The sequence below is a fragment of the Homo sapiens genome, chromosome 16 (assembly GCF_000001405.40).
Source record: "Homo sapiens chromosome 16, GRCh38.p14 Primary Assembly".
Taxonomy (NCBI): Eukaryota; Metazoa; Chordata; class Mammalia; order Primates; family Hominidae; genus Homo; species Homo sapiens.
The window spans coordinates 23,059,540-23,083,561 of record NC_000016.10 but is presented as its reverse complement, the minus strand read 5'-3'; the positions used below and the strand labels follow the sequence as shown (position 1 = coordinate 23,083,561).

The following is a 24,022-nucleotide window of genomic DNA, read 5'->3' as shown; positions in this document are numbered from 1 at the left end:
ATAATGGATGAGCAAATCTACTAGATGGCAGCACTGGTATTCCACAACACATCTCACTGATCTAGAATGGTAGCAGGATACCTTTTAACAGGGGCTCATTCATTCAGTAGGTGTTTTTTGAGTACATACCATGTTAGGTATCGTACTGGTACTGAAGAAGTAGCAGGGGCCAACATAAACAACATTTTTGCCTTCATGCTGTTTGTAGTCTAGTGGAACAAGTAAATAAAGGAAGCAAAGTTCCTGGAGGAGGAAGCAAAAGCCCTTTGGCAAGACTGTCAAACAGAAATGAAGCCAGTATGGCTGGAGGACAGGAAGTGAGGGACAGAATTGAGACAGTATATGCTCCATGAGAGCAGGTACTCCATCTGTCTTGATCACTAAATAATTCCAGTATCCAGAGCAGTGCATGGCACATAGAAAGTGACATCTGGCCGGGCGCAGTGGCTCACGCTTGTAATCCCAGCACTTTGGGAGGCTGAGGTGGACGGATCGCCTGAGTTCACGAGTTCAAGAGCACCTGGGCAGCATGGCAAAACCCCGTCTCTACCAAAAATACAAAAATTAGCTGGGTGTGGTGATGCATGCCTGTGGTCCCAGCTACTGAAGAGGCTGAGGTGGGAGAATCACTTGAGCCTGATGGGTGGAGGTTGCAGTGAGCCGAGATCACACCACTGTACTCCAGCCTGGGTGATAGAGTGACACTCTGTTTCAAAAAAAAAAAAAAAAAGAGAGAGAAAGAAAGTAACATATTTAACATTTATACAGTATTTACCGATTTAGTCGTTCCTCTTTGAGGGATAATCTATTCAACAAACCAGAATCTGTTTAGAGTTTGGGTGCCAGCTCTGGCTACTTTTGATTGTGTTATTCCATTGATGCCCAGCATCTGCGGTTTACAGAGAGATTTTGAGTTGCACCATGCCCTGGCTAAGGCATTAGTCCAGCTGTAACACAGTCTTGCATTAAGTGGCACTTAACGGGAGTCATGCTTCTGTTTTCAGCTTGCCCCCGATGATGCCTGGCGTTGCCCACACTGTAAGCAGCTGCAGCAGGGAAGCATTACGTTAAGCCTCTGGACTCTGCCTGATGTGCTTATTATACATCTAAAGAGATTTCGGCAGGTATGGAAATCCTTTATCCTCAGGAACAAACAAGTTGTGACAAGTTTCTTATGCCCCCTGCTGATGGGCTCTGTGAGGGTTCTTTGGTATACCTGTTTGATCCAGTGAGTCCTGTCTGTGTATGTTATAGACACACTTTTGCCCCTGTGTTTAGGGTAATGTTTTGTTCTTTCCCAAGGCAAAATTTGATTTTAGTTCAGATTGCAGATATTTTACTTGACTTGTAAATGTCGTGCCTAAATTTTGTTAAGTGTACTCTGGGATTTAAAAAGAACTAAGTAGAGATCCTTTCTGGGGGAGGTAGAATTCTGTTTCTACCTAATGTAATATGGGTGTTCTGCTCCTGAGAAGCTGTTGTATGGTTGGGGAGATGAGTCATAAATAAATACAAAGAAAATCTGCTTTGAATTGTATTGCTTTGTGAGTCAGTTTTTCCAAAAAGGCTGTCTATTCCCTGAGGTTAGGATTGTCTAGACAGTCTCATTGTAAGAGGTAAATGGGAAGTAAACATTAGCGGACTCCACAAGGCCTGGCTCTTAGTTTGTATCTGAAAGATGAGCAAGCTTTTACTAGGTGAGGTGGAAGCAGGGATCTCCCACACGGGGGCAGAGAGAGCAGTGTGTGCAAAGCCCGACAGTGGAGAAAGCACAGCCTGCACGAGAGGCTGGGAGCAGGCCAGGTGGGCAGGCAGTCCAGAGGGGTGGGCAGTGGCGGGAGTTGATGGAAGACGTGGGTGGATGCTGGTTGTCCAAGGAACCCTTTGGGGGCGGAGTAGGATTCCGATGAAGGGTTATAAGCAGAGAAGCAACCTTACTAAATCTGTATTTTGAAAATATTATTCTGGATATTGTGTAGATAACAGATTAGAGGCTACAAGAATGAAGATGGGGAGACCTGAAGGAGGCCCTTGCCTTCATCCAGGGTGGGCTGCTAGTAGATGGGATAGGTTGTGGCAGTAGAGACGGAGAGATGTTGAGGACTGTCTGAGGAGGCGGAGGTATCAGGGGCAACACACAGATGGTCCCCAGGTCTGGGGCTTTCACACAGAGGTTTGAGGTTCAGCTCCTATGGGAGTGAAGAGTGGGCATTTGGCACCCACTGTGTATTCCGTTGGGATCTGCAGGTGGAAAGCTGGCTGAGGGTTTGGATCCCAGCCTGCTGTTTCTCCTTCCCCAGACACAGAGTAATTTCCTGGGCTTTCTGTTTTCTTTTGAAGGCATGTCACCACCCTTCCAGCAATCCAGAGGCAAACCTGCAGTGTCCTCTTTGACTCTTCTTTCTTGTCCCTCTCATCTAGGCATGGCCATGCCTCTTCATCGACTCCTGTGTGTCCCCTCCCCATTCTTGCTGTCAGACAGCGTGCTGGTTCAGACATTTTGTTGCTTTTCAGCTGGTCACTGTTGCAATGATTTTAATTGATTTTTCACCTCCATTACTCCTATTTCTAACATGTTCTGTGCACTGCTTACACAGTTCTTGACCCACAACTCTGGTGACATCACCTTTTCCATAAAAGCCACAGAGGATACACTCCAGATTCTTCAGGCTGGCCTTCCTGACCACCCAGGACCCATCATCCCTTTCTCTCATGAACATTTTTCTTCCCTTCACAGACCTATACGTAGCTCCTTAGGGTGGACATATCTATGCCTGGTTAATTTTTTAAAGTTCCCATAGACACAGGAAACATTCAGTCATTATCTCTTCAACTGATGGTTGGATTTCAAAGCATTTCCCTATAGGTTTAATGGAAAATACAGATTACTAAAGATTGCCACTGAGTGGATATATTAAGCTAAGACAGTGTTGCCTTGTGATGTGCCTGTTGGAGGATGTGGAGGGGAACAGGCACTGCTTATCAAGAGGCTCTTCTGCACCAGGCGCTGTGGTTTGCCCTTCATGGAGCCATCACATCATTAGTTTTCATGTCTCTTTGACAGAGGTATCAGGAAGAGCCACCTGATACTGTCATTTTTTTTTAAGTCAAATGCTTTAAAGCCCTTTAACAGATAAGGAAAGGAAGACTCAGAGAGGCTCATTTACCCCCTCTATATGGATCCTTACTGGTTCCACCTTAGCTGATATTAAAACCTGTTCCTCTAGATAGCTAAAACTATCATCTGTTTCCCTGATTTGTATGTCTTGGGAAACATCAGATAGGTAACTCACACCGCTTTGTCTGATAGGATCCACATTCCCCTCTAAAGTGATCTGCCATCTGCTTGCATTAAAATATCACCAGAACTTGTTTTTCTTCTTGCAACAGGAAGGAGACAGGCGCATGAAACTTCAGAACATGGTCAAATTCCCCTTGACTGGCCTGGACATGACACCTCACGTGGTTAAGAGGAGCCAGAGCAGCTGGAGTTTGCCATCGCATTGGTCCCCGTGGAGACGGCCCTATGGACTCGGGAGGGACCCTGAGGACTACATCTATGACCTGTATGCTGTGTGCAATCACCATGGCACCATGCAAGGGGGGCACTACACAGGTCTGCAGTGTGAGAGGCTGCGTGTCTGTGCTGGCGAGTCCTTCAGACGGGTTTGCTTGTGGCAGGGTGACTTGACTTTAGAGCCTCATTTCCCCTCCGGTAGGCAGTGTGCCAACTGTGAGGGCAGTTTCCATCCTCTGGATCTCTGCCCAAGAGCAAATAAACGAACATTCTTCCTCCTTTTCCTGAGTTGGGTCGTCCAGTAGGTAGCTGACTGATTGGGGAGTGGTATGTGCAGATGGCATTGTCTGGTCAACTGAGGATTTGCTCTTTGTTTACCTAACCTGCGCTCCCCATTTACGGTTTTGCTAGATAGAGTTCCTTGAGTTCTATCTTCTCTCTCATTTTAAATGATTGTGAACTACTTTTTTTTTTTTTAATTAAAGATGAGCTGTTGCTGTGTTGCCCAGGCTGGAGTACAGTAGCTATTCACAGATGTGATTATCACACACTACAGCCTTGAACTTCTGGGCTCAAGCAAGTCTCCTGCCTTATTCTCCAGAGTAGCTGGGATACAAGTGCATGACACTTTTATAGTGTCTTTAAAGTGACTTAGAAGGGTTTTTCTTTTTGTTTTAAGGTTAAATTGACCTTGTCATTTATAAAAGCAACTATGTTCATCATGAAATTTAGAGTCTAGAGGTGGAAAGAATACCATCATCCATGGGCTTATCACTGAGATAACCACTGGTAACATTTTTTTTAATTGCGATAAAATATACATAAGAAAATGTACCATTTTAACCATTTTTAAGTGTACAGTTCAGTGACATTAAGTACACTCACATTGTTGTGCAACCATTATCACTATCCATCTCTACAAGTTTTTTAATCTTCCCAGACTTAAACTCTGTACCTAATAAACACTAATTCCCATTTTCTCTCCCTTCAGCCATGACAAGCACCATACTTTCTGTCTCTGTGAATTTGACTACTCTTGGTACCTCTTTTAAATGGAATCATTCAATATTTGTTCTTTTGTGACTGGTTATTTCATGTAGCATAATGTCTGTAAGGTTCATCCATGTTGTGGCAGGTATCAGAATTTCCTGCCTCTTTAGGGCTGAGTAATGTTCCACTGTATGTAGGTAATATTTTGGTATGTAGTATATACTTGACGTGTTTTTCTCTTAAGTTTTTGCCATTATTTTCCACTGTTGGGATTTTACTGGCATTTTGTTGTTGTTGTTCAAGTGAACATTTATTGAGCCCCTCACATCCTGCTTGCCCTGGGCTCTATCACAGCAGAGATCAGTAGGTCCCCAGCCTCTGTCTTCTGAGAGTGTAATCAAGTAGAGGGAGATGTGGGTACAGATATGGTTTAAAAAGGAGTCCCACATCATGGGTTCTGTGGTGGAGGTGTGAGCAGTGGGCAGAGATCAGAGCCAGAGGAGAGAGTGGCCAGAGCGTGCTGGAGGGGGAGGGTCAGCTGTCGGGGAAAGGAGCCTGCCGCCTCACCTCATGGGCTAGAGTGGGGTGGATAGACAGGTCACAAATTCAGAAGCACAGCAGCACAGTGAGGGGTGAGTGGCGCATGCCTTCTGCATCCTCATCTTCACGCCTAGTATTGTAACAGAAGTAGCTTGATGTGGACACTTAATTTTTTATAAATACTTTTTTTTTTTTTTTTTTTTTGCGACGGAGTCTCGCTCTCTCACCAGGCTGGAGTGTGGTGGCGTGATCTAGGCTCACTGTAACCTCCGCCTCCCGGGTTCAAGCAATTCTCCTGCCTCAGCCTCCCGAGTAGCTGGGACTACAGGCACACACCACCACACCCAGCTAATTTTTGTATTTTTAATAGAGACGGGGTTTCACCATGTTGGCCAGGATGGTCTCGATCTCCTGACCTGGTGATCTGCCCTCCTTGGCCTCCCAAAGTGCTGGGATTACAGGCATGAGCCACTGCGCCCGGCCTATAAATACTTTTTAATGACCACAGAATGTTCTGTTGATAGATCTCTAATGTTATCTAACCCTTCCCCATTGCTGAACATCTATATTGTTTCTGGTTTTTAACTTTTCGTGTAACATTGTTGAATATCTTTATGCTCTTTCACTTTTTTTGAATTTTAATTCTGTATTTCCTTGAGATTGAGTCTTGGAAATGGAATCATTGGGCTAAGGGCCTGCTTGAGCCTTTTGGGAGCCAGGCAGATTTCAGGGCTTTATTCGTTGATGTGAGGGTTGATGTGATTAATTTGATTATCCGTGTGAGTGTCTAGGATTTGGATTTCTGCATCCTTCACACTCAGTGTGTTATATATGTATACTTCTCAGGGACTTTCTTTATTAATTCAGTGGTTTCTGCAACAAGACCCCGAGTGCTAGTGCTGACCATTGATTTATAAAGGTAGGGAGAGATGGAGGAGGGGTGGGGTCTGGCCAATCCTGGGTACTATTAAATCTCTGGGACTCTTTTCTCTAGTATTTAGCCGTGAACCTCCCTCCCCATCAGCCAAGGCAGAGGAGTCCGTTGGCCTTGCTACCTTTCATACTCACTGTTTCAGTCTGCTCTGTTCCCTTCCAGGAGGGCCGGGGTTGGGGAAGATTACTGGACACAATAATCTTTTATTCTTGAAACCCTTTTAGTTCAAGTTCTTTAAATAGATATTTTTCTTTTTTTCAAACTCATTTTACTGCCTGAAGTTCTTTAAATATTTAAATGCTGCAGGCAGCAATTGTTTGTGAGAGGAATGATCCCAACTTTGAGCGCATCTTGTGATGGAATGGCTTGGATTGCCTCTGCCTGCTGTAGGAAGCGCTTTCAAGGAGAGAAAGAAGCTAGAGAAGTTTGAAAGATGCTCTCACTTCATAGAAGACAAAAGTTAATGTGAATTAAATGTTTAGATATATTTTGCCTTGTACTTTGGTTTAAACCATATTTCAATGATGATAATAGTATATTTGGTATCTTACATATTTTAGGTTTCTATTTTATGGGGGCCATGTATACAAATATTGTGTCTTGTTGGATTTTTGCTTTTGTGGCATTACCAGTCATGTCTGTGTTCTTTGGTACTGAGTGATGGAATTCTATACTTGTGGACTGGTAGAATGGAAAGGGATGTGGAGGTCATTTAACTTCACAACTCACCCGGTGTTGTAACACCTTTGCCAGCATCCTTGATTGGCGTTCACCAGCTCAGCTTTGGTAAAGAATGTGTTTTCCATTTATAACACTATTTCTCAAGAAAATATGGACTGGCTTGTTACATAGTTTCTGGGAAGAAATTGTTGGGAAGAATAAGACAGGGCTAGACTTTAGCATCGTGTTGCTCTTTATATATAGAATAGATCTTGGAAAATGCCTGGAAACCTCCAACTACCTTAGAGGCAGTACAGTTTGGTGGAAGGAGCTTGGGTTAGAAGCCAGACACATCTTTCTAGCTCTGTGTCCTGGGGCAGGTAGCTGTTCACTAATTTGGCTACCATGTTAGTGAGCCAGGAAGAGGTCATGCTGACCTCAAGGAACCCATTACCCAGGATGTGCTCAGATGTTTTCTGTATTATTTCCCCTTTCTCATGCTGAGACCCTACCACCACTTTTCTAGTATATGAGATGTTTAGAGTCTTAGTTTAGAGAACATTTTAAATATTCTTCGCATTGTTGAATGAAAGATACTCTGTTTTTAAGTTTTTTCTTTTTTTTTTTTTTTTAACATCAACTTTTAAGTTCAGGTGTACGTGTTCAGGATGTGCAGGTTGGTTACTTAGGTAAACATGTGCCATGATGGTTTGCCGCACAGATCATCCCATCACCTAGGTATTAAGCCCAGCATGCATTAAGCTATTCTTCCTGATGCTCTCTCACCCCTCATCCCCATTTTTAAGTTTTCATTTGGAATGTTTATTTTATGTTTTGAGACAGGGTCTCACTTTGTCACCCAGGCTGGAGTGCAGTGTGTGATCGTGGCTCACTGCAGCCCCAGCCTCCCGGGCTCAAGATCCTCCTACCTCAGCTTCCCAAGTAGCTGGGACTACAGGTGTGCGCCACCACACTTGCCTAATTTTTAAATTTTTTTGTAGAGTCAGGGCCTATACTATGTTGTCCAGACTGGTCTCGAACTCCATATCTCAAGCAGTCCTCTGCCTCAGCCTCACAAAGTGTTGGGATTGTAGGCATAAGCCACCATGGCCGGCCTGGAATGTTTATTTTGATGTAATCTTTATTTTGCACTGTTTCTAGCTATAATCGATGGTATAATGATATAATCGATTGTGTAAGGATTCTAGAACAGTGCCTCTCACACCATCTGTGATGAAGAACTTGGTTTTTTCTACTTTAAAATTTCCAATCCTTTATCAACTAGTGCATTTGTAAGAATACAATAAAAATATCACGGCAGTATCAGATTGCTATAAAAGTTTTTTAAATGCTTTTCTCCTTTTTGGTGCTTCTCTCGTGTGGGCTCGTGTCAGTCCGTGAGCCATAATTCTAGTAGCACTGGCCTAGAGAATACTTCAGAAAGTAGTTCTAGGAAGAAAAGCAAGTAGAATTATTTTGTAATTAATGAGTTTGCTGTGCTGTCTCAGTTTCCACACTGTGACTGAGAAGAGGCCATTCTGAAGAGGAGCAGGCTGAAAGGAGGCAAGGCTGTTCTGTCTCCTTCTCTTGGGCATGTCCCTCACAGCTCTGCTCCCACTCACCACTCCAGAAGAGCAGCTACTCCCCAGCTGGGTCATGTGTGCATCAAGCCTGACCTGACGCCACTGGCCAATTGCTGTTTCCTTAGAGCTCCATTTGCTGCTTACATTTTAAGTTCTTTCCCTTCTGGTTCCGGCAAGTTCTCAGCTGCAAATAACTTCCCTGCCTCCGTTCATAGGTCCTTATTCTGCTCTCATTTTGGGGGACTTGTCTGGTGTAGCCCTTTCTCACCCGCGTCTCTTTTATCCCTTAAGTCTCCATACTTGCGGAAATGGTTATGGCCCATTGAAGGAGTCACTCCTGGTGCCTCTCAGGACCTTATCTGCCCCATCCCTGGGGCCATCCTGAGTCTGTTCCAGCATTCAGCTAAATATTCTAGCACTCGTTTATTCTCACCCCAAATAAATGCATATTTTTAGAAAATGTGATCATAATGTACTTTTCTGGATCAAGCTTATAACACCCTTTGATATATCCTTGCAGGATGACTGGGTTTGTGAACTCTTAAGTTTTCGTCTGTTTTTGCTGCTACTTGAATGTTCTTTATTTCTAGCTCAGGCTTAGAATTTGGACTGAAAGAAGTCCTCCTGCGTTCATGAGCTCATGTGTTCTCAGTCTGCCAGGGAACTTCCATGGAGCCTGGTTTGTGCTCCTCCCTGAGGGAAGCAGGGCAGGATAGGGCTTCAAGTGCAAGCCAAGGACTTGATAAGCCTGAAATGAGCTGGGCTCCTGCCTTTCACCAGCTGCACGACCTTGGGCAAGCAGATTAATCTTTTTCAACCTCTGGAAATTGGGAGTAATAAGAGAACAAATCTGAGGATTAAATGAGATGCTTGGCACATAATAAGTGTTACATATTATATTTATCTGCTATCATATCATTATATTGTTATTTCTATTCATATTATTTGCTATTTCTAATAGACACTAAAATGTTGCAACACACTGAACTCAGGGTTTCTTCACCCTGGCACCATTTTGGTCGGACAGTTTTGTCTTGCAGGGGGCTGTCCTGTGCATTATAGAATGTTTAGCAGCATCCGTGGCCTCTACCCACTAGATGCCAGTAGCACCTCTCCCTTGAGTTGTGACAATCAAAAACATCTCCATTCATTGCCAAATCCCACTCCCCCCGCCACAGACACAGTTCCCTGGTTGAGACCCATTGGTTTAAATAAGTATGTGTTTTCTAAGATGAACTGGAACTGCATCTACTTGGAATGGTTTGGAATTTCTCAAGATATTTTGCTCGAGTGTGATACAGAATTTAGAATTTTTTTTTAATCTCTTTCTGTGTTGCTATACGCAGCCTTAAAACGTTCTTGAGTTAATTAGATGAGCCAAAGAGATGGTGTCTGTGGGTCGCATGAAGTGGCTGGTGCAGCCTCCCCTGGTGCTGATGGCGGGCTCTCTTTGGCAGCGTACTGTAAGAACTCTGTGGACGGCCTCTGGTACTGCTTCGATGACAGCGATGTGCAGCAGCTGTCAGAAGATGAGGTCTGCACGCAGACAGCATACATCCTCTTCTACCAGAGGCGGACAGCCATCCCGTCATGGTCAGCCAACAGCTCGGTGGCAGGTGAGGTCCACTCTTGTTCTTGGGCAGTTTTTTCCAGAGCAAAAGATTGTAATGAATGGTCTAGAGGACCTCTCTGGAGGCTCTCATGACTCTGTCAGTTTGATCAGATGAATCCTTACGTTTCCATTTAATCTGGAAACTAAAATGACTGCAGTCAAGGAAGTTGGGGAGGAATGTGACAGCACCTGTGGCCCAGTGGAGTTCACTGGGGACAGTGGGTTGGACCTGGCGCAAAGAAAGCTCATGATGTGTTCTTGTGGATAAATGCATGGGTGAGCTGAAAAGCAGCGTGGCATACTACCCGCTGTCCTGGGGTTATCCTGGAGCCTGTCCCATCTGGGCCACATAGCAATCATCTATAATACAGGTGTAATAATAATGCCTACCTCATGGGGTCATCGTAAGCATCCAGTTAGATAAATGTGTGTTAAAACATTTTGTAAAGGGTAAAGGACCATTAGAAATAGTCTGCTTTTCCAGTGAGAAGATTGGACTATTCTGTTAGGAGAAGGATTGATGGCTGTGATAATATTAGGTGGCTTGGGTTTAGCCGGATGACATCCAGCCTGTTGTGTTTAATAAATGCAGGGACCAGTACCCACACACAATATGAATGCAGCCACACATAATCCAAACAAGTGGACACACGTTTCTGAATGCAGAGTTTGACTTCAAGAGAGCGTGACAGAGGATTGGAATGTGGTGATGTGCAATCAGGTTAGGGGCTATGAATCCTTGCTTCTCTTGAAGCTTGCAGGGGGTGAGTTCAAAGCAGTGAAAACAAGGCATCTCTCAAGCAGAATGACGCCCTGCTGGGGGCCAAGCCCACCCAGTGTACAGCCACTCACTCAGTTAACACAGCGGGAACTCCAGTGCTCTTCCACCAGTCTCAGATGTGCTCAGAAATGACACCTTCTTGAGGTCTACTTGAGACAGTCATGCTGCTTCATGTACTCTGTTTCAAGAGCAATTTCTCTTGCCCTAATAAATATTTAAGGGCGTCCCTGGAACAGACAGGGCAGATTGACATATAGCTGTGTGTGTGTATTATTAATATTATGAAAATGGTGACAAATTTCCTTAAAACAGGCTGAGAGAAAAAGAGTATACTGCCGCATCCTCTCTTCTCTTTGTGTAAGAAATATTACTGCAATTGCTTAGAACAGTGCCTGGCATGTAGATGCTTCATAAATATTTGTAGAATGAATGTATGAGTGCTTGTCTATTCCATTCTCTTGCCAATTCTTTAGACTCAGACTTACATTATAAAGTATTCATCCCTATCCTTGCATTTTATTACTACAAATTTCATGCGTCAGGAAGTCTGCCTTACATCTTTTCATCTTAACTGGGGATATTCGGACAGGCACGACATGACACAGGGTCTGGGAATTGATGCTGACCTCGGGGTGAGGACATCAACGCCCCCCAGCTCAGCTCGTAACACCTTCATGAGGGTGTGTGTGGCTCAGGGCTGGCCGAGGGACCCCAGCCTGACCTCTATGCCTGTTTTCTTCTCTGCAGGCTCCACAAGTTCTTCCCTGTGTGAACACTGGGTGAGCCGGCTCCCGGGCAGCAAGCCAGCCAGCGTGACCTCTGCAGCTTCCTCCAGACGCACCTCCCTGGCGTCGCTCTCTGAGTCCGTGGAGATGACTGGAGAAAGGAGTGAAGATGATGGTGGGTGTGGGTTTTGGTGACAAATTTCCAGAATGGTAACTCACAGACACAGCAGAGTCCCTCGTGTTTTTCCTAGGAGCTAAGTCCCAAGGAGATGGTAGGAGAACCCAAAGGGAGCTACAGGGAGTGGAGCTGTGTAGCTGTGAGTTATGATCCTAAAAAGCATTTTGTATTAACAGAGTCATTTGCTTTTCCTGTGTCCCAGTACTTTCTCCTTCCACTTCATTATTTTCCACTTGTAAGGTCTCTTGTGGAGGCTGGAGCTTTATATACCAATGTATACTTTTTTTTTTTTTTCCCAAAGTGTTTTAAAAAGCAGGATAGCTGGAAGAGGCTCAGAGAGATTGTGCTTTGCCCAGGCCACGTGGTGGGGAGTCGGCTCCAGGCTTGGCATGGAGGCCCCTGGCTCTCTTGGCCCCAGGAGAGCCTCACCTTCCAACATGCTGCTCCCCAGGGAGGAAGCTGTGGAATGTTCTTTTTAGTACAGAAGCATCTAAAACAAAAGCTGTTGTTGCCTTTGCATAGAGATAGTAAAAAGTCCGATAAAAATTGAACTCTTTTTTTTTTTTTTTCTTTTTAAACTTTCACTTTCTGCTTGGGTAATGGCAGGATAGACCTTAGTTTCGACAGGGACCCAGGTGGTGTGGGAAGGACCGGGCAGCCACAGTACTGGGAGCTGGAAGGAGTGAGTGCAGCTTCTATAATGAGCATAGTGACTCAATCTGCCAACAAGTCTCAGTCTGCAGCCAGCATTTCGATCACTGTAATCTGCTTCTAGTGGTGATGGATAATTCTGAGAAAATGAAATTGAGTTAAAATTGCAATAGGCTGGAAGAAGAATGCCAGGTGAAGAGAGCTGCACCATAGCTCTAGCTCTGCCACCTCTTCTGGCTTGTTGCCTCTTCCTCTTTATTTGTAAAATAAAAACATTGGACTGCAATTCCTAAGCTCCTTCCGGCTCCTCACATCTTATGGAAAACTGACTGGTGAACCTTTGCTTGTTTAGGCAGAGGTTATTTTCAGTACTGCCTTTAAACTTAGAATTCACTGTCATTTTAACGATAAGCCTCAATAAGGTTTGCCTCAGTCTATTTTTAAGCAGTGCAGTTGGTGAAATCAGTATCCTTTTAAGCATCATCATTGTATAATGGTGCTGGGTGGTGCCCACAGAATAGAGCCTGTTTCTTAGGCTCTATAAAGACAGAATTTTGTAAATATCACAACTGTAGTATCATTGTGTAGAAAATTTAATTTAGAATATTTTCTTAGGACGTTTTGAGCCACACCAAATAGGAGTATGTGGTTCTGATTATGAGTATTTTTTTTTTTTTTTAAACGGAGTCTGTCTCTGTCTCCCGGCTGGAGTGTAGTGGCGCGATCTCGGCTCACTGCAAGCTCCGCCTACCAGGTTCACGCCATTCTCCTGCCTCAGCCTCCCCAGCAGCTGGGACTACAGGCACCTGCCACCACACCTGGCTAATTTTTTTGTATTTTTAGTAGAGACGGGGTTTCACCATGTTAGCCAGAATGGTCTCGATCTCCTGACATCGTGATCTGCCCACCTCAGCCTCCCAAAGTGCTGGGATTACAGGCATGAGCCACCACGCCTGGCCTCTGATTATGAATATTTTTTTGGAAGTTTTAAGTTACTGGATTTAGGAGTATATGATATCCAAGTCTTTTTAGCTCTTTGCGTTGATCCACATCTGTAGTCAACAATGACAGGCCAGCTTACATGTGGAATTGAGTGGTGCGGGAAGGGGTTCTGGGTTCTGGTATTAGCTCTTCCTTTAATGAGTTGTGTAATCTTGGTCAAGGACTTCATTTCTGTGAGCCCCAGATCACCTTCAGGAAGGTAATGAAGCTGGGTCAATACCTCACAGCATCTATGGAATGCCAGGTGCTCTGTTGGGCACAGGACTTGTAAGGTTGTATTTAATCGTCACACTTGCCCTGTGAGTTAGACCAGAGGTCAGCAAACTGTAGCCCCATAGGCCAAATACAGCCCACTGCCTTTCTTTGTAAACATTTTTGGAACGCAGTCAGACACGTTTTCTTACGTGTCACCTGTGGCTGCTTTCATGCAGCAGTGACAGAGTTGAATGTTTGGCCTGCAAAGCCTAACATCTGCTGTCTAGGCCTTCACAGGAAAAGTTATACCGAGCCCTGATGTAGGGCAAGGAGGCGAATAGAAGTTTGCTGTGTTAGAATGATCCTGAGTTAGAATGTCCCTATTTTATACATAAGGAAACTGGGCTCAGAAAAGTCAAAGCCACACAGGGACTCCTTGATCCCAGATGGGCTGGCTCTGAAGGTCATGCTCCTTTCATCCCATGAGGCTTACCTTCGTTTCACCTTCAGTGTCTTACAGTGTTGTTAGAATGTCTTCATTGGCTTAACTTAACAGTATTCTCTTTACTGTGTTCAGGAGGCTTTTCAACTCGACCATTTGTGAGAAGTGTCCAGCGTCAGAGTTTGTCATCCAGATCTTCTGTCACCAGCCCCTTGGCCGTCAATGAAAATTGCATGAGACCTTCATGGTCCCTGTCTGCTAAGCTGCAGATGCGCTCCAATTCTCCATCCCGATTTTCAGGGGATTCGCCAATTCACAGCTCTGCTTCCACCTTGGAGAAGATTGGGGAGGCAGCAGATGACAAGGTCTCCATCTCTTGCTTTGGTAGCTTGCGGAACCTTTCTAGCAGTTACCAGGAACCAAGCGACAGTCATAGTCGCCGTGAGCACAAGGCTGTGGGCCGGGCCCCTCTGGCTGTCATGGAAGGCGTGTTCAAAGACGAATCGGACACCCGCAGATTGAACTCCAGTGTCGTAGATACACAGAGCAAACATTCAGCACAAGGGGACCGCCTGCCCCCGCTCTCTGGTCCATTTGATAACAATAATCAGATCGCTTATGTGGATCAGAGCGACTCCGTAGACAGCTCTCCAGTCAAAGAGGTGAAAGCCCCCAGCCACCCAGGCTCACTCGCAAAGAAACCAGAGAGCACAACTAAGAGATCCCCCAGTTCCAAAGGCACTTCTGAGCCAGAGAAAAGCTTGCGGAAGGGGAGACCAGCCTTGGCAAGCCAGGAGTCATCCCTTTCAAGTACATCCCCTTCTTCTCCTCTTCCTGTAAAAGTCTCTCTAAAGCCCTCCCGCTCCCGCAGCAAAGCAGATTCTTCTTCCAGGGGCAGTGGACGGCATTCATCCCCTGCCCCTGCCCAACCCAAAAAGGAGTCATCCCCGAAATCTCAGGACTCCGTGTCATCTCCTTCGCCACAGAAGCAGAAGTCAGCCTCGGCCCTCACCTACACTGCTTCCTCCACATCTGCCAAAAAGGCCTCGGGCCCTGCCACAAGGAGCCCTTTCCCACCTGGGAAGAGCAGGACTTCAGACCACAGCTTGAGTAGAGAGGGCTCCAGACAAAGCTTGGGTTCTGACAGAGCCAGCGCCACCTCCACCTCCAAACCCAATTCCCCTCGGGTGAGCCAGGCCCGAGCAGGGGAGGGCAGGGGGGCCGGGAAGCACGTGCGGAGCTCCTCCATGGCCAGCCTGCGCTCCCCCAGCACAAGCATCAAGTCTGGTTTGAAGAGGGACAGCAAGTCTGAGGACAAGGGGCTGTCCTTCTTCAAATCAGCCTTGAGACAGAAGGAAACCCGGCGCTCGACGGATCTTGGCAAGACAGCCTTGCTCTCTAAAAAGGCTGGTGGGAGCTCTGTTAAGTCTGTCTGTAAGAACACCGGGGACGACGAGGCAGAGAGAGGCCACCAGCCTCCAGCTTCCCAGCAGCCAAATGCAAATACAACGGGAAAAGAGCAGCTTGTCACCAAGGACCCTGCTTCTGCCAAACATTCCCTGCTGTCCGCTCGCAAATCCAAGTCTTCCCAACTAGACTCTGGAGTTCCCTCGTCTCCGGGTGGCAGGCAGTCTGCAGAGAAATCCTCAAAAAAGTTATCTTCTAGCATGCAAACCTCTGCACGGCCTTCTCAAAAACCTCAGTGATATTTCTGCAATCAAAGTGTTTTATCTGTAAAGATGTTTATTTATTTAGAACCCCTGCCCTCCCACCAAAGCCTCCTGTGCTTTTGTTTTGTACTTTTTTGAGTCACGTGCCCGACTGTGTGTGTGTGTGTGAGTGTATGCGTGTGTGTGTCTAATTCAATTGCAAATTGTTCAAAGCGTCGCCTTATTCTGCCATTGAACCAAATAACAGCCATAGGCAAAACATTGACACCAAGCTAACTGGAATAATTGTAGACGATACCCAGGACGGTCCCTTTAGCAATTGTACATATTTCTTTCTAGAGAACTCTAATGACTTTCTTTGGATATGAGGGTTTTGAAACCTGTGAACCAGAAAAGCTACCATTAGTGCGTAGAAGGAGGAAGGAGCTGACTCGTGTTTCTTCTGAGCAGGACTTGTCCTTACTGTGGATTGTGGGTGGCACCAGGAGCTCTAAAAACTGTGACTCTAACAACGAAACAAATCGAGGGAAAAACTCTTGCTTTCTGCACTTTCGCCCCATCTACCAGTCTTTGTAAAGGGCAATATTTTAACACTAATGTTTCTCAGGTATATACTCAGCTAGTCTAGGATGGTTGCACACCAGTAAATGGATTAAAGAGGAAGGTGCCATGTGGGTGACTGTGTCATTTCTCCTACTGCCACAGATAGACATTTTCGAGGTAGAAATGAAGCCTTTCACCACCTTCCTATCTGTGGTGACATGTGCACCAAAACCTGTCTTGACTCTTGGGATAGGTCCTAGGAAGTGGCAGATTGGATAGCCAGAAAGCCAGTCACTCGTTTAATTTTTTTTCCTTCTGAAATTACTAGCTAAGGCTCTTGGAATTTTGCACTGTAGTAGAGCAGTTAACACCTTTGACAGATTCCTGGAAAAAACTTCTAGATTCTAAACTGGGTGAAAGACTGGACATCATTTTCCTTGTCAGGTGTTGCATTTTTCCGTTAGAGGTGGGAAGCTCCACGATGCCCTGTGTCTGTGGGCTCATGTTCCCTCATCTTGTAGCTTGGAGAGGAAAGAAGTTGCCTTCTGCCAAAAGCCAATGGTGGTATGTTGAAGCGTTGTGTGATCAAGTGTTACATATGCACTTCAGATCCTGTCTGTCAGTCTCTGTTAGGGCTGCCTTTCAGTAACTCATTTATTATTTCTTCTTTGTTCTTAAGATTTCATCTCATGCCCAGAACTCACAAGCAGGTTTTGGAGTGTGTTCCATCTGGCCGTGTCAGTGCAAATTGCATTTCTTACAAAGGAGAACCTCACCAAAAAAAACCTCACAGATAAGCAAAGTATATAGTTTTGCAAGCTTTTTCAAGGTCTCCTGGCAATACTTTCCTGCTCAATTTTTAGCTTTTCTTTTTTTTTTAAATGTCAAGAGAGTGAAGGTCTTGATTCTCTCTGAATAGCATTTGTCACTTTGCCAGTAAATACAGCATGCTAAGTTTATGTGCTTTTAAATATTAGCGTTTTTCGTCAGACTCTTCAAGTTCTTCTTGAACCCTTGGTGCACAGATCCATATATAACCTCCCTTTTCAGTATTGCTGTGTGTGAATTAACTACAACACATATGCATGCATAGCTGTGAATTCTGCACTACTTTTTTTTTCTTTTTTCCCCCCAAGAATATCTCTTGGGAAAAGTTTTTAGTACGTTACTTAACTTTATTTTGCTGCTAATTTGCGCATTAGCCGGTAACTTGCAAGTCTGGAGACCACTTACTGTTGAGGGTAGCTGGAATTTTAGACCCTTGGCAGTATTTAAGATTTAGACATTTAGCCTTGTGAAAGTTACCACAGTGCTCCATGTGATTCATTGACTGTGAGCCTGTTGTCCATTGCACTCAGCCCTGTACTCACTTCTTCACTCGCTGTCCTGGTTTTACTGTTCAGATTTTGGTGGGTTCTCAAAGCAGTACCACTCTCATCTGCTCAGTACATCTGCGGCAACTGGCTGCCTTCGATGCTGTCATTGCGTTCAGCCCAGCACATCACAGCCCCATCAGTGTGTAGCCACCGCTCTCGTTTTTCTGTATCGCTTTTATCTCCTGAAAAAGATGCACCAAATAAGAGATCATCTATATCAGGAATTGAATGTCTAACTCAAACCTCTCATTTTTGTTTAATAGGTAGATCTCATTTGAAGTCTCCTATCTGAATCTCTGAAACAATTATAGTTTGATTAGACAAAGGTTTTTAATAACACTTCTTTTTTGCTGTAGTCAAGCATTAATAGAAACTAGTTTAATTTTCACAGTGGTAAATATTTTTATTCTTGAGTTATCTAGGAATGGATTTTCCACGATGTCTAGTGACTTAAAAAAAAAAAGGAAAAACGTTTCTACAAATCCCTTTGGTTTTCCATGGGATCTGGAATAAAATGTCAGTGTCTATAAACTGTATGTCATGGAGTTTAGTCCTTGTTTCAGGTTTAATAGAAAAAATCAGGAAGTATCATGGCATTGTCTAGACATCATGAAGCTATTTTATTTCCATAGTTGGTAAACAGTGAAAATTTCATTATCTCCAACTACTAGGTACAACTTTAGGCCACAGGAAAGGTTATTTGGCCCGAAAGTTTGGAGGTGCTCCTTGAGGTGGGAAGTATCTTGTGGGAAAGTAGTTACTTGATTCAATTTAGTTCATTGGTAGGGTTGGGGACTTGGTGTTGGTTTCTTTCTTTCTTTTCTTTTTTTTTTTTTTTTTAATTTTCCCAGCAATATTTAGCACAATGAGCGTGTATGTGCTTTGGGGTTAAAAATTATCTGCTAGGGATGATAGGCCTGGGTTTCTCGTTGACATCTAGATGGGCCTGATTAGAGCAGTCATCTCCTGGTAGGCACAAAATAATCACCAACAGTAATGTTGTATCTGTAATGTTTGTTTGCTTTTTAAAGTTTTATTCTTGATTTCTTGTAAACATCCATTGCACTGAGGCCGTATCATTCCTTAAGACAGCCCTACATCTTGCCTTGGTAATCCCTTAGATAATGTGGAAACTCAAACCGTTAGGCTCCAGTCATCTTAGACCATTTCCCATCCGTTTTGTATTTTCTCGTCCTGAAAGCAGCTGAACTGAAAGTAAGTAATAATATGCTGGACCAGTGGGAACGGATGTGGGAGTATTTGTGGTGTGCTAAAATACTGTAATTATCTGTGAGGCTGCCTGACACGCTTTTGCAATCTTGTTTTCATCATTCATTCTGCAAACGTTTATGGAGGGCCTTCTTTGAGCACAGAGGCAAAACTGAAAGCTTCAGGGATTTGCTGTAGCTGAGGAGCCCTGGGAGCACAGCCCATCAAGCAAGGGATGTGATGGTGTCCTAAATGGAGTGACAGTTCTCCTGGGAAAAGAGATCACGTGGATTCCGGTCAAATCGGCTAAGGCTTGTGGTTCTCTTGAGCAAGTCTGTTCCTTCTGGAAACCAAAAGTGCCCTTCATCTTTAGAGACATTTTACTCTTCCATCCACCTTTTCAGACTGAGCTGTCTCTACTATTTAGGGGTTGAAAATCCATTACACAGTCACTTTACGTTAACATTGGGTCATCTTATGTTTGTATGAGACGGATGTGGGATTTGAGGGGAACATTGTCATTCCCTTAAAATAACTATCATGAAAAAAATAGCAACAGTATGTAAAGGGACCAAGAGTGGCAGCCTTTAGGGAAAATGGAGCAGAGAAGAGCTGTGAACAAAGCTCATTTATTTGAAATAAGCGTGCTTTATTTCACATAGAGGGGCATCAGACGTTACATTTCATTCGGACAAATTACTGAACAGCCGAAGTGATTGTTTCCAATGTAGGTTATTATAATTATTGGATACAAAGATTTAACTAGTGTTTCTGGGTTGGATTTTTGAAATAGTATGCAAGTCATAAGCACAGTTTCAATAAAACACGTATTCTGGAGGTGCGTGGAACTTTGTATTATTTGTAGTTGAGAAAGGCAAACTTTGCTGACAAACCAGTACCTATCACAAACGAACACAAAAAGTAGCTGTTACTGTGCAGGCTGTCTTTAACTTTCATTTCATAAAGGGTACATTATTGTTAAACTCTACTACATGGTTTGGGGAGAAATCCAGTGGTTTTATTTAAATGAACACTCTCACACTGCCTTTTGATCAACTTTCAAAGTATTTTGCAGATGCATTTTGAGCATGACCATTTTTTTCCCCAAGTAAAAACAATTGTGCGTGGCCTCCATATAACTCAGAAAGCATGCTCTTACTACCTATGCAAGCAAACAATAAAACATATAGACATGAAATGTTAAGTCTTAAAAAAAAAAGGCAACAATTATGGAGCTCTATTTTTAAATTTGTGATTTTCAAAATATGGCTTACTCATCATTGTGTAGAAGAGCATGAATGCGATTTCTTGTTTTGCTCTGCATATATTTCTCTGCTGTTTTTCTGATCATTGGCGAGATTGTAAAGTATTTTGCAAGCAGAAGTGGAATTGGATATGTTGAACACACATCATTGGTGTACATACTGTATTTAGCCTGAAGACTTTCCTAAAGTGTTTTGTTCTAAAAATAACCTGCCATTTTCTATAGATTTTAATTTTTTATATCTTCAAGGGTTCTATTTTGGTCACAAGGAAAGAATGTGGCTTCTAATAGTGCTAAGAATTAAAAGATGCTTTTATAGAGACTTAGAGCTATTTTGAAAAGCTTTGGGGCTTCCCAGCCACTGATCACAATTAGACTAAGCCCATGGAATTTCTGGGAGTGTTGTGCAGTGGATTCGGTTCTAGATCCATCTTACATTTGTTTAGTGTTTCCCAATTTTTGGGAGAAGGGGTGCACAGCAAATTTGAGAGACTTTTTTGAATCTCACACATGTATTTTCCTCAAGATTCTTTTAAGCCTCTTCTGAATGACTTGTCTGAGATAGTGAAGACCCACATTAACTAGAATCAGCTGGGGAACTTTAAAAAATACAGTGCCTGGGTCCCAGTCCCTAGCTTTTGATCTAATTCATGTAGGGGTGGGATCCAGGAATTACCATGTATTTTAAAAGCTTCTGGGTGTTTCTAATTTGCAGACAGATTGAGAACCACTATGATACGTCATCCCTTTACTGAGAATTATGGCGAGAATCACTGCCATTTGAATTACTCAGGAGTGACTGATTCCTCAGTTGTGTAGGAGAAGCAGAAAAAATAAGAATAAAAAGAATTGAGAGATACTGATATCAAACTCCCATTTGAAATACAAGGGCCCTTCTGATTCAAGGCCCAGTTGGGGAGCTTGGACCATGTTGTGAATGGCCTAGCACTCGCCAGTCTGGTGGAAATTGGTGGTCTTAGTTGCTGGAGCAGGCTGAGTGTCCCCGCGGGGTTTGCATCTGTCCCCAGAACCTTTTCCCCAGGCCCGTGGGGGAATAGGGAAGTCACTCTGAGCTAGAAATTGTCGAAGAAGAAAAGAAACAACCTTCCTAGCCTTGGAAAGCCTGTCCCTGCTTTTGATAGAATTATTGCCTTTTTGTAGGAATTACAGTAGCAAACCCCAGGCTGCCGCTGAATTTCCTACTTTTGCTCATTCTCTAGGATAGTTCTTATCCAGAATGTGGTTTCAGGAATTCTTTTTTTTAGTTTGAAAATGAATGTGAAACATTTTCTTTGGTGTCTTTTTTTTAAAAAAAAAAAACCCTTATTGCTATTTTTTCGTGTTTTTGTTTTGTTTTGTTTTTTGTTTGTTTTACCATTAAGTAATACACATCCCAGAATTTGGCACTCTGTGTTAACTGTGGAGGCAAATAAAATTTAGTTTTAATCTGTGGTGAGCTGAATGCACTACAACACCTTCGAAGTAATCTGATGGTTTCATTCTGTCGAGCCTCATGCTGCCTACAAAACACCACAATTTACCTGGTGTTTTCAACATTTTAAGGAATGAAGATACAAGTAGACATGCAAGTTGGAAATGTTTCTTTAGAAAGGCCATCCAGAATAATGATATCTGTTGCAGTCGTCCAAATGCAATATGAAATTTCCTAGGTGCTATTATAAACGGTGTGGTGTCATACCAAATGCAAAAGCAGTTACAGTATTTCCGAAGTTGGAGTTCTCTTTGTAGGCCTTTCAAATACGTGTTTGCATTCCATAGAGGTCTGCTCACCAACTGTGCCTCTCACCACTGGTTAAAATTGAATTTAAGCCTCATTGACATAAGTCGTTTCTTGATTGAACTCTTCAGTTTTTACACTGGAATTTCTGTAGTTGTCTTGAAAGCTGCATGTCACATCACTGTACACAAAGTGCTTTGGTATTACTCATGCACCGTGGATAGTGATTTCTGTGTCGTTTTCATTTTCAGTTGTACAGTAATATGGAAGGCAGGATGTCTTTCCTAGAGGCTGGAAGAAAAGTGTATCGTACATTTTAAATTTATTTTAGAACAAGTGCATGAGATGTGTCACTGATTTCTGTTATTTATTTGTATGTTTTATTATTCAAAGTGTATGCACTTTTAAGAAGCAGAATTTATATTTTTACGTTTGAAACGTTTTATTTCTGAAACAGCGTTGATTATATAGTATACAGTTGGAATTAAGAGAAAAGTGGAAAATGTAACAAAATACAATAAATTTATTACAAGATGTCCTCTTCAAGCCACATTTCTCCTTTCTCCCCCTTGCCAACTGATATCTTTTTGGTGTTGACTATAATAATAATTGTACTGCATCAGTCTTTACAAAATGCCTTAAAATTGCAGTGTTTAAAACACAAGTTACAGAAAGATGTATACATATGTTTTCTGTGTAAAAGTTTAAAACAAAAAATCACATCCATGCTTGTATAATTTTCACAATCAGGGATGGTTCTTCCCATTTCCTCCATGACGGATTAGAGACAGTTTGTCCTGGGCCATGGAACTGGACAAAAACTCACATTCTGGTTCAATCCAACAGATTTTCAACATTTCGCATTATTTTCCCCCTCTTACCAAACTTTTATGATGGGAAGAAATAGCAGTATAAAAGGGGCCATTCTTCCTGCGCTGTCTCATACCCTAGATATTTAATATTTTTGATACAAACAACATTTTTCCAGCTGTCTTTCCCACCCTTCAGGACAGAACTCCCTACTGAGGATGTCACATCACCTATGGCCACGTGGGGGCACTAAAGATCTCTTATGCATTTTAGAAGTCCAGCCTGCAGGTGGTTAGCCTCTGAGTGTGGAAATGTTTATTCAGTATGAGTTGGGGAATACGGTATCAGTGAACAGGGGTTTCTGTTTAGGGGAGTGCCACCAGCCATCATTTGTTCCCGGAAAGTGTTGAGTACAGATCAGGACAGATCTTGTTTCCCTAAAGCACAGCATTATGGTTTAGGGTTGGGGTGGGGGGAGTTGATGTTCCTGACAAGTGTGAACCACATGCCGTGCTAGGTACAGCACTTCTGAAGCTCTCTAATTTGAAATGGTAAGATTTCGCTTAGGTTCTGTTAGAGAGTTTAACCATGTAGTACGCTGATTATTCAAGAGGCTTCATTATGCCACAAAGTGTTCACATGTCATAAAATATGTAGATTTAATAGTTATGCAGATATTTAAGGATCATTTTGCCTGTCTCCTTAGGATTTGGAAGATTATCTTTCAATACTTGAATGGTCAACGTCTCTCTGAATACTTTTCGGGTCCCTGTAAATCTTCCTGAAGAAAGCAAAGGTGTGATAACACCCCTTGCCCAGAGCTGCATGTTCCTGTGTGTTAAACTGCCCCGTGGGTGATTCTAGGCCACTCTGACTCCGTGGGATGTAGCTTGAGGTCCTCCCCCACCCCAGTATCCCCTTTCTCCCAGCTGGGTTCTGTGTCATATGTTCTAATTCTGTGTACATCATCTAACATAACGTTGAACGGTTAATCACTTCGATTTACTAATACATTCACTTTCCATTGCTCTTCACTCCTTCCTGGGTTCTCCCAGATGGATGCTTCAGGTTTCCTCTCTGCGACCCTGTTCCTTTCTCAGGCTTCTCCACGAGGGTCATCTGGTAGATTTCACCTTGCTGGGTGGGTTGGGTCTACCTTCTGCAAACCCCTCTGGAATTCGGTCTTGGTTTGGTCTGGTCTTAGCTACGTTTTTCACCCTCTGCCAACACCTGCTATACACAGAGGACAGGGCTGTCCTCTCCCTTGGTGGTGCATTTTTGCATGCCATATAACCCAATGGCCTTGCACTCGTTTCTTAGAGCTTTCAGGGATTTGATATCAGTTTGACTTGCTCTTTGGATGTCTTAACAGCTCCATTTTTCTTGTGAAACGTGAGAAGATGGTGCAAATGAGACTGCAGTGCCTAGTTGGAATCAGGCCTCCCTGCCCCCGGTGGGGTCTCAGGGATCTTGCATTCCAGCACACCACCCCTGTGCCTTCCCTTTGTTTAGGAGGACTCCAGAGAGGCCCACAGTGCACAGATCCAGTTCCAGAGACACAGGGAAAAGGGTGTAATACGTCTTTCCTCTCCGAGAGTCTGG

General features: G+C 43.6%; 1 protein-coding gene across 7 annotated transcripts in view, besides 1 other annotated feature; it reads left to right on the top strand.

Moving 5' to 3' along the window:
- Positions 1-22,156, top strand: part of USP31 (ubiquitin specific peptidase 31) — an 88,047-nt gene extending 65,891 nt beyond the window's left edge. For 4 of the 7 annotated variants that reach the window (NM_020718.4, XM_017023497.3, XM_017023498.3 and 1 more), the window contains 5 exons: positions 1,005-1,124; positions 3,391-3,616; positions 9,682-9,840; positions 11,365-11,517; positions 13,946-22,156. In NM_020718.4, coding sequence (NP_065769.3) covers positions 1,005-1,124; positions 3,391-3,616; positions 9,682-9,840; positions 11,365-11,517; positions 13,946-15,516 — 2,229 coding nt within the window. In that variant the 3' untranslated portion in view covers positions 15,517-22,156. Of the gene's footprint in view, positions 1-1,004; positions 1,125-3,390; positions 3,617-9,570; positions 9,841-11,364; positions 11,518-13,945 lie in introns of those variants that run through there. The other 3 variants (NR_170599.1, NM_001387221.1, XM_047434389.1) reach the window with 3 other exon arrangements.
- Positions 15,091-15,592: an enhancer, noted in NCBI's record as "H3K4me1 hESC enhancer chr16:23079291-23079792 (GRCh37/hg19 assembly coordinates)". NCBI's record gives its function as "activates a minimal SCP1, AML or CMV promoter by ChIP-STARR-seq in primed H9 embryonic stem cells {active_cell/tissue: H9 hESC(primed)}" and the evidence as "EXISTENCE:reporter gene assay evidence [ECO:0000049][PMID:30033119]".
- Positions 22,157-24,022: the final 1,866 nt, after the last annotated feature.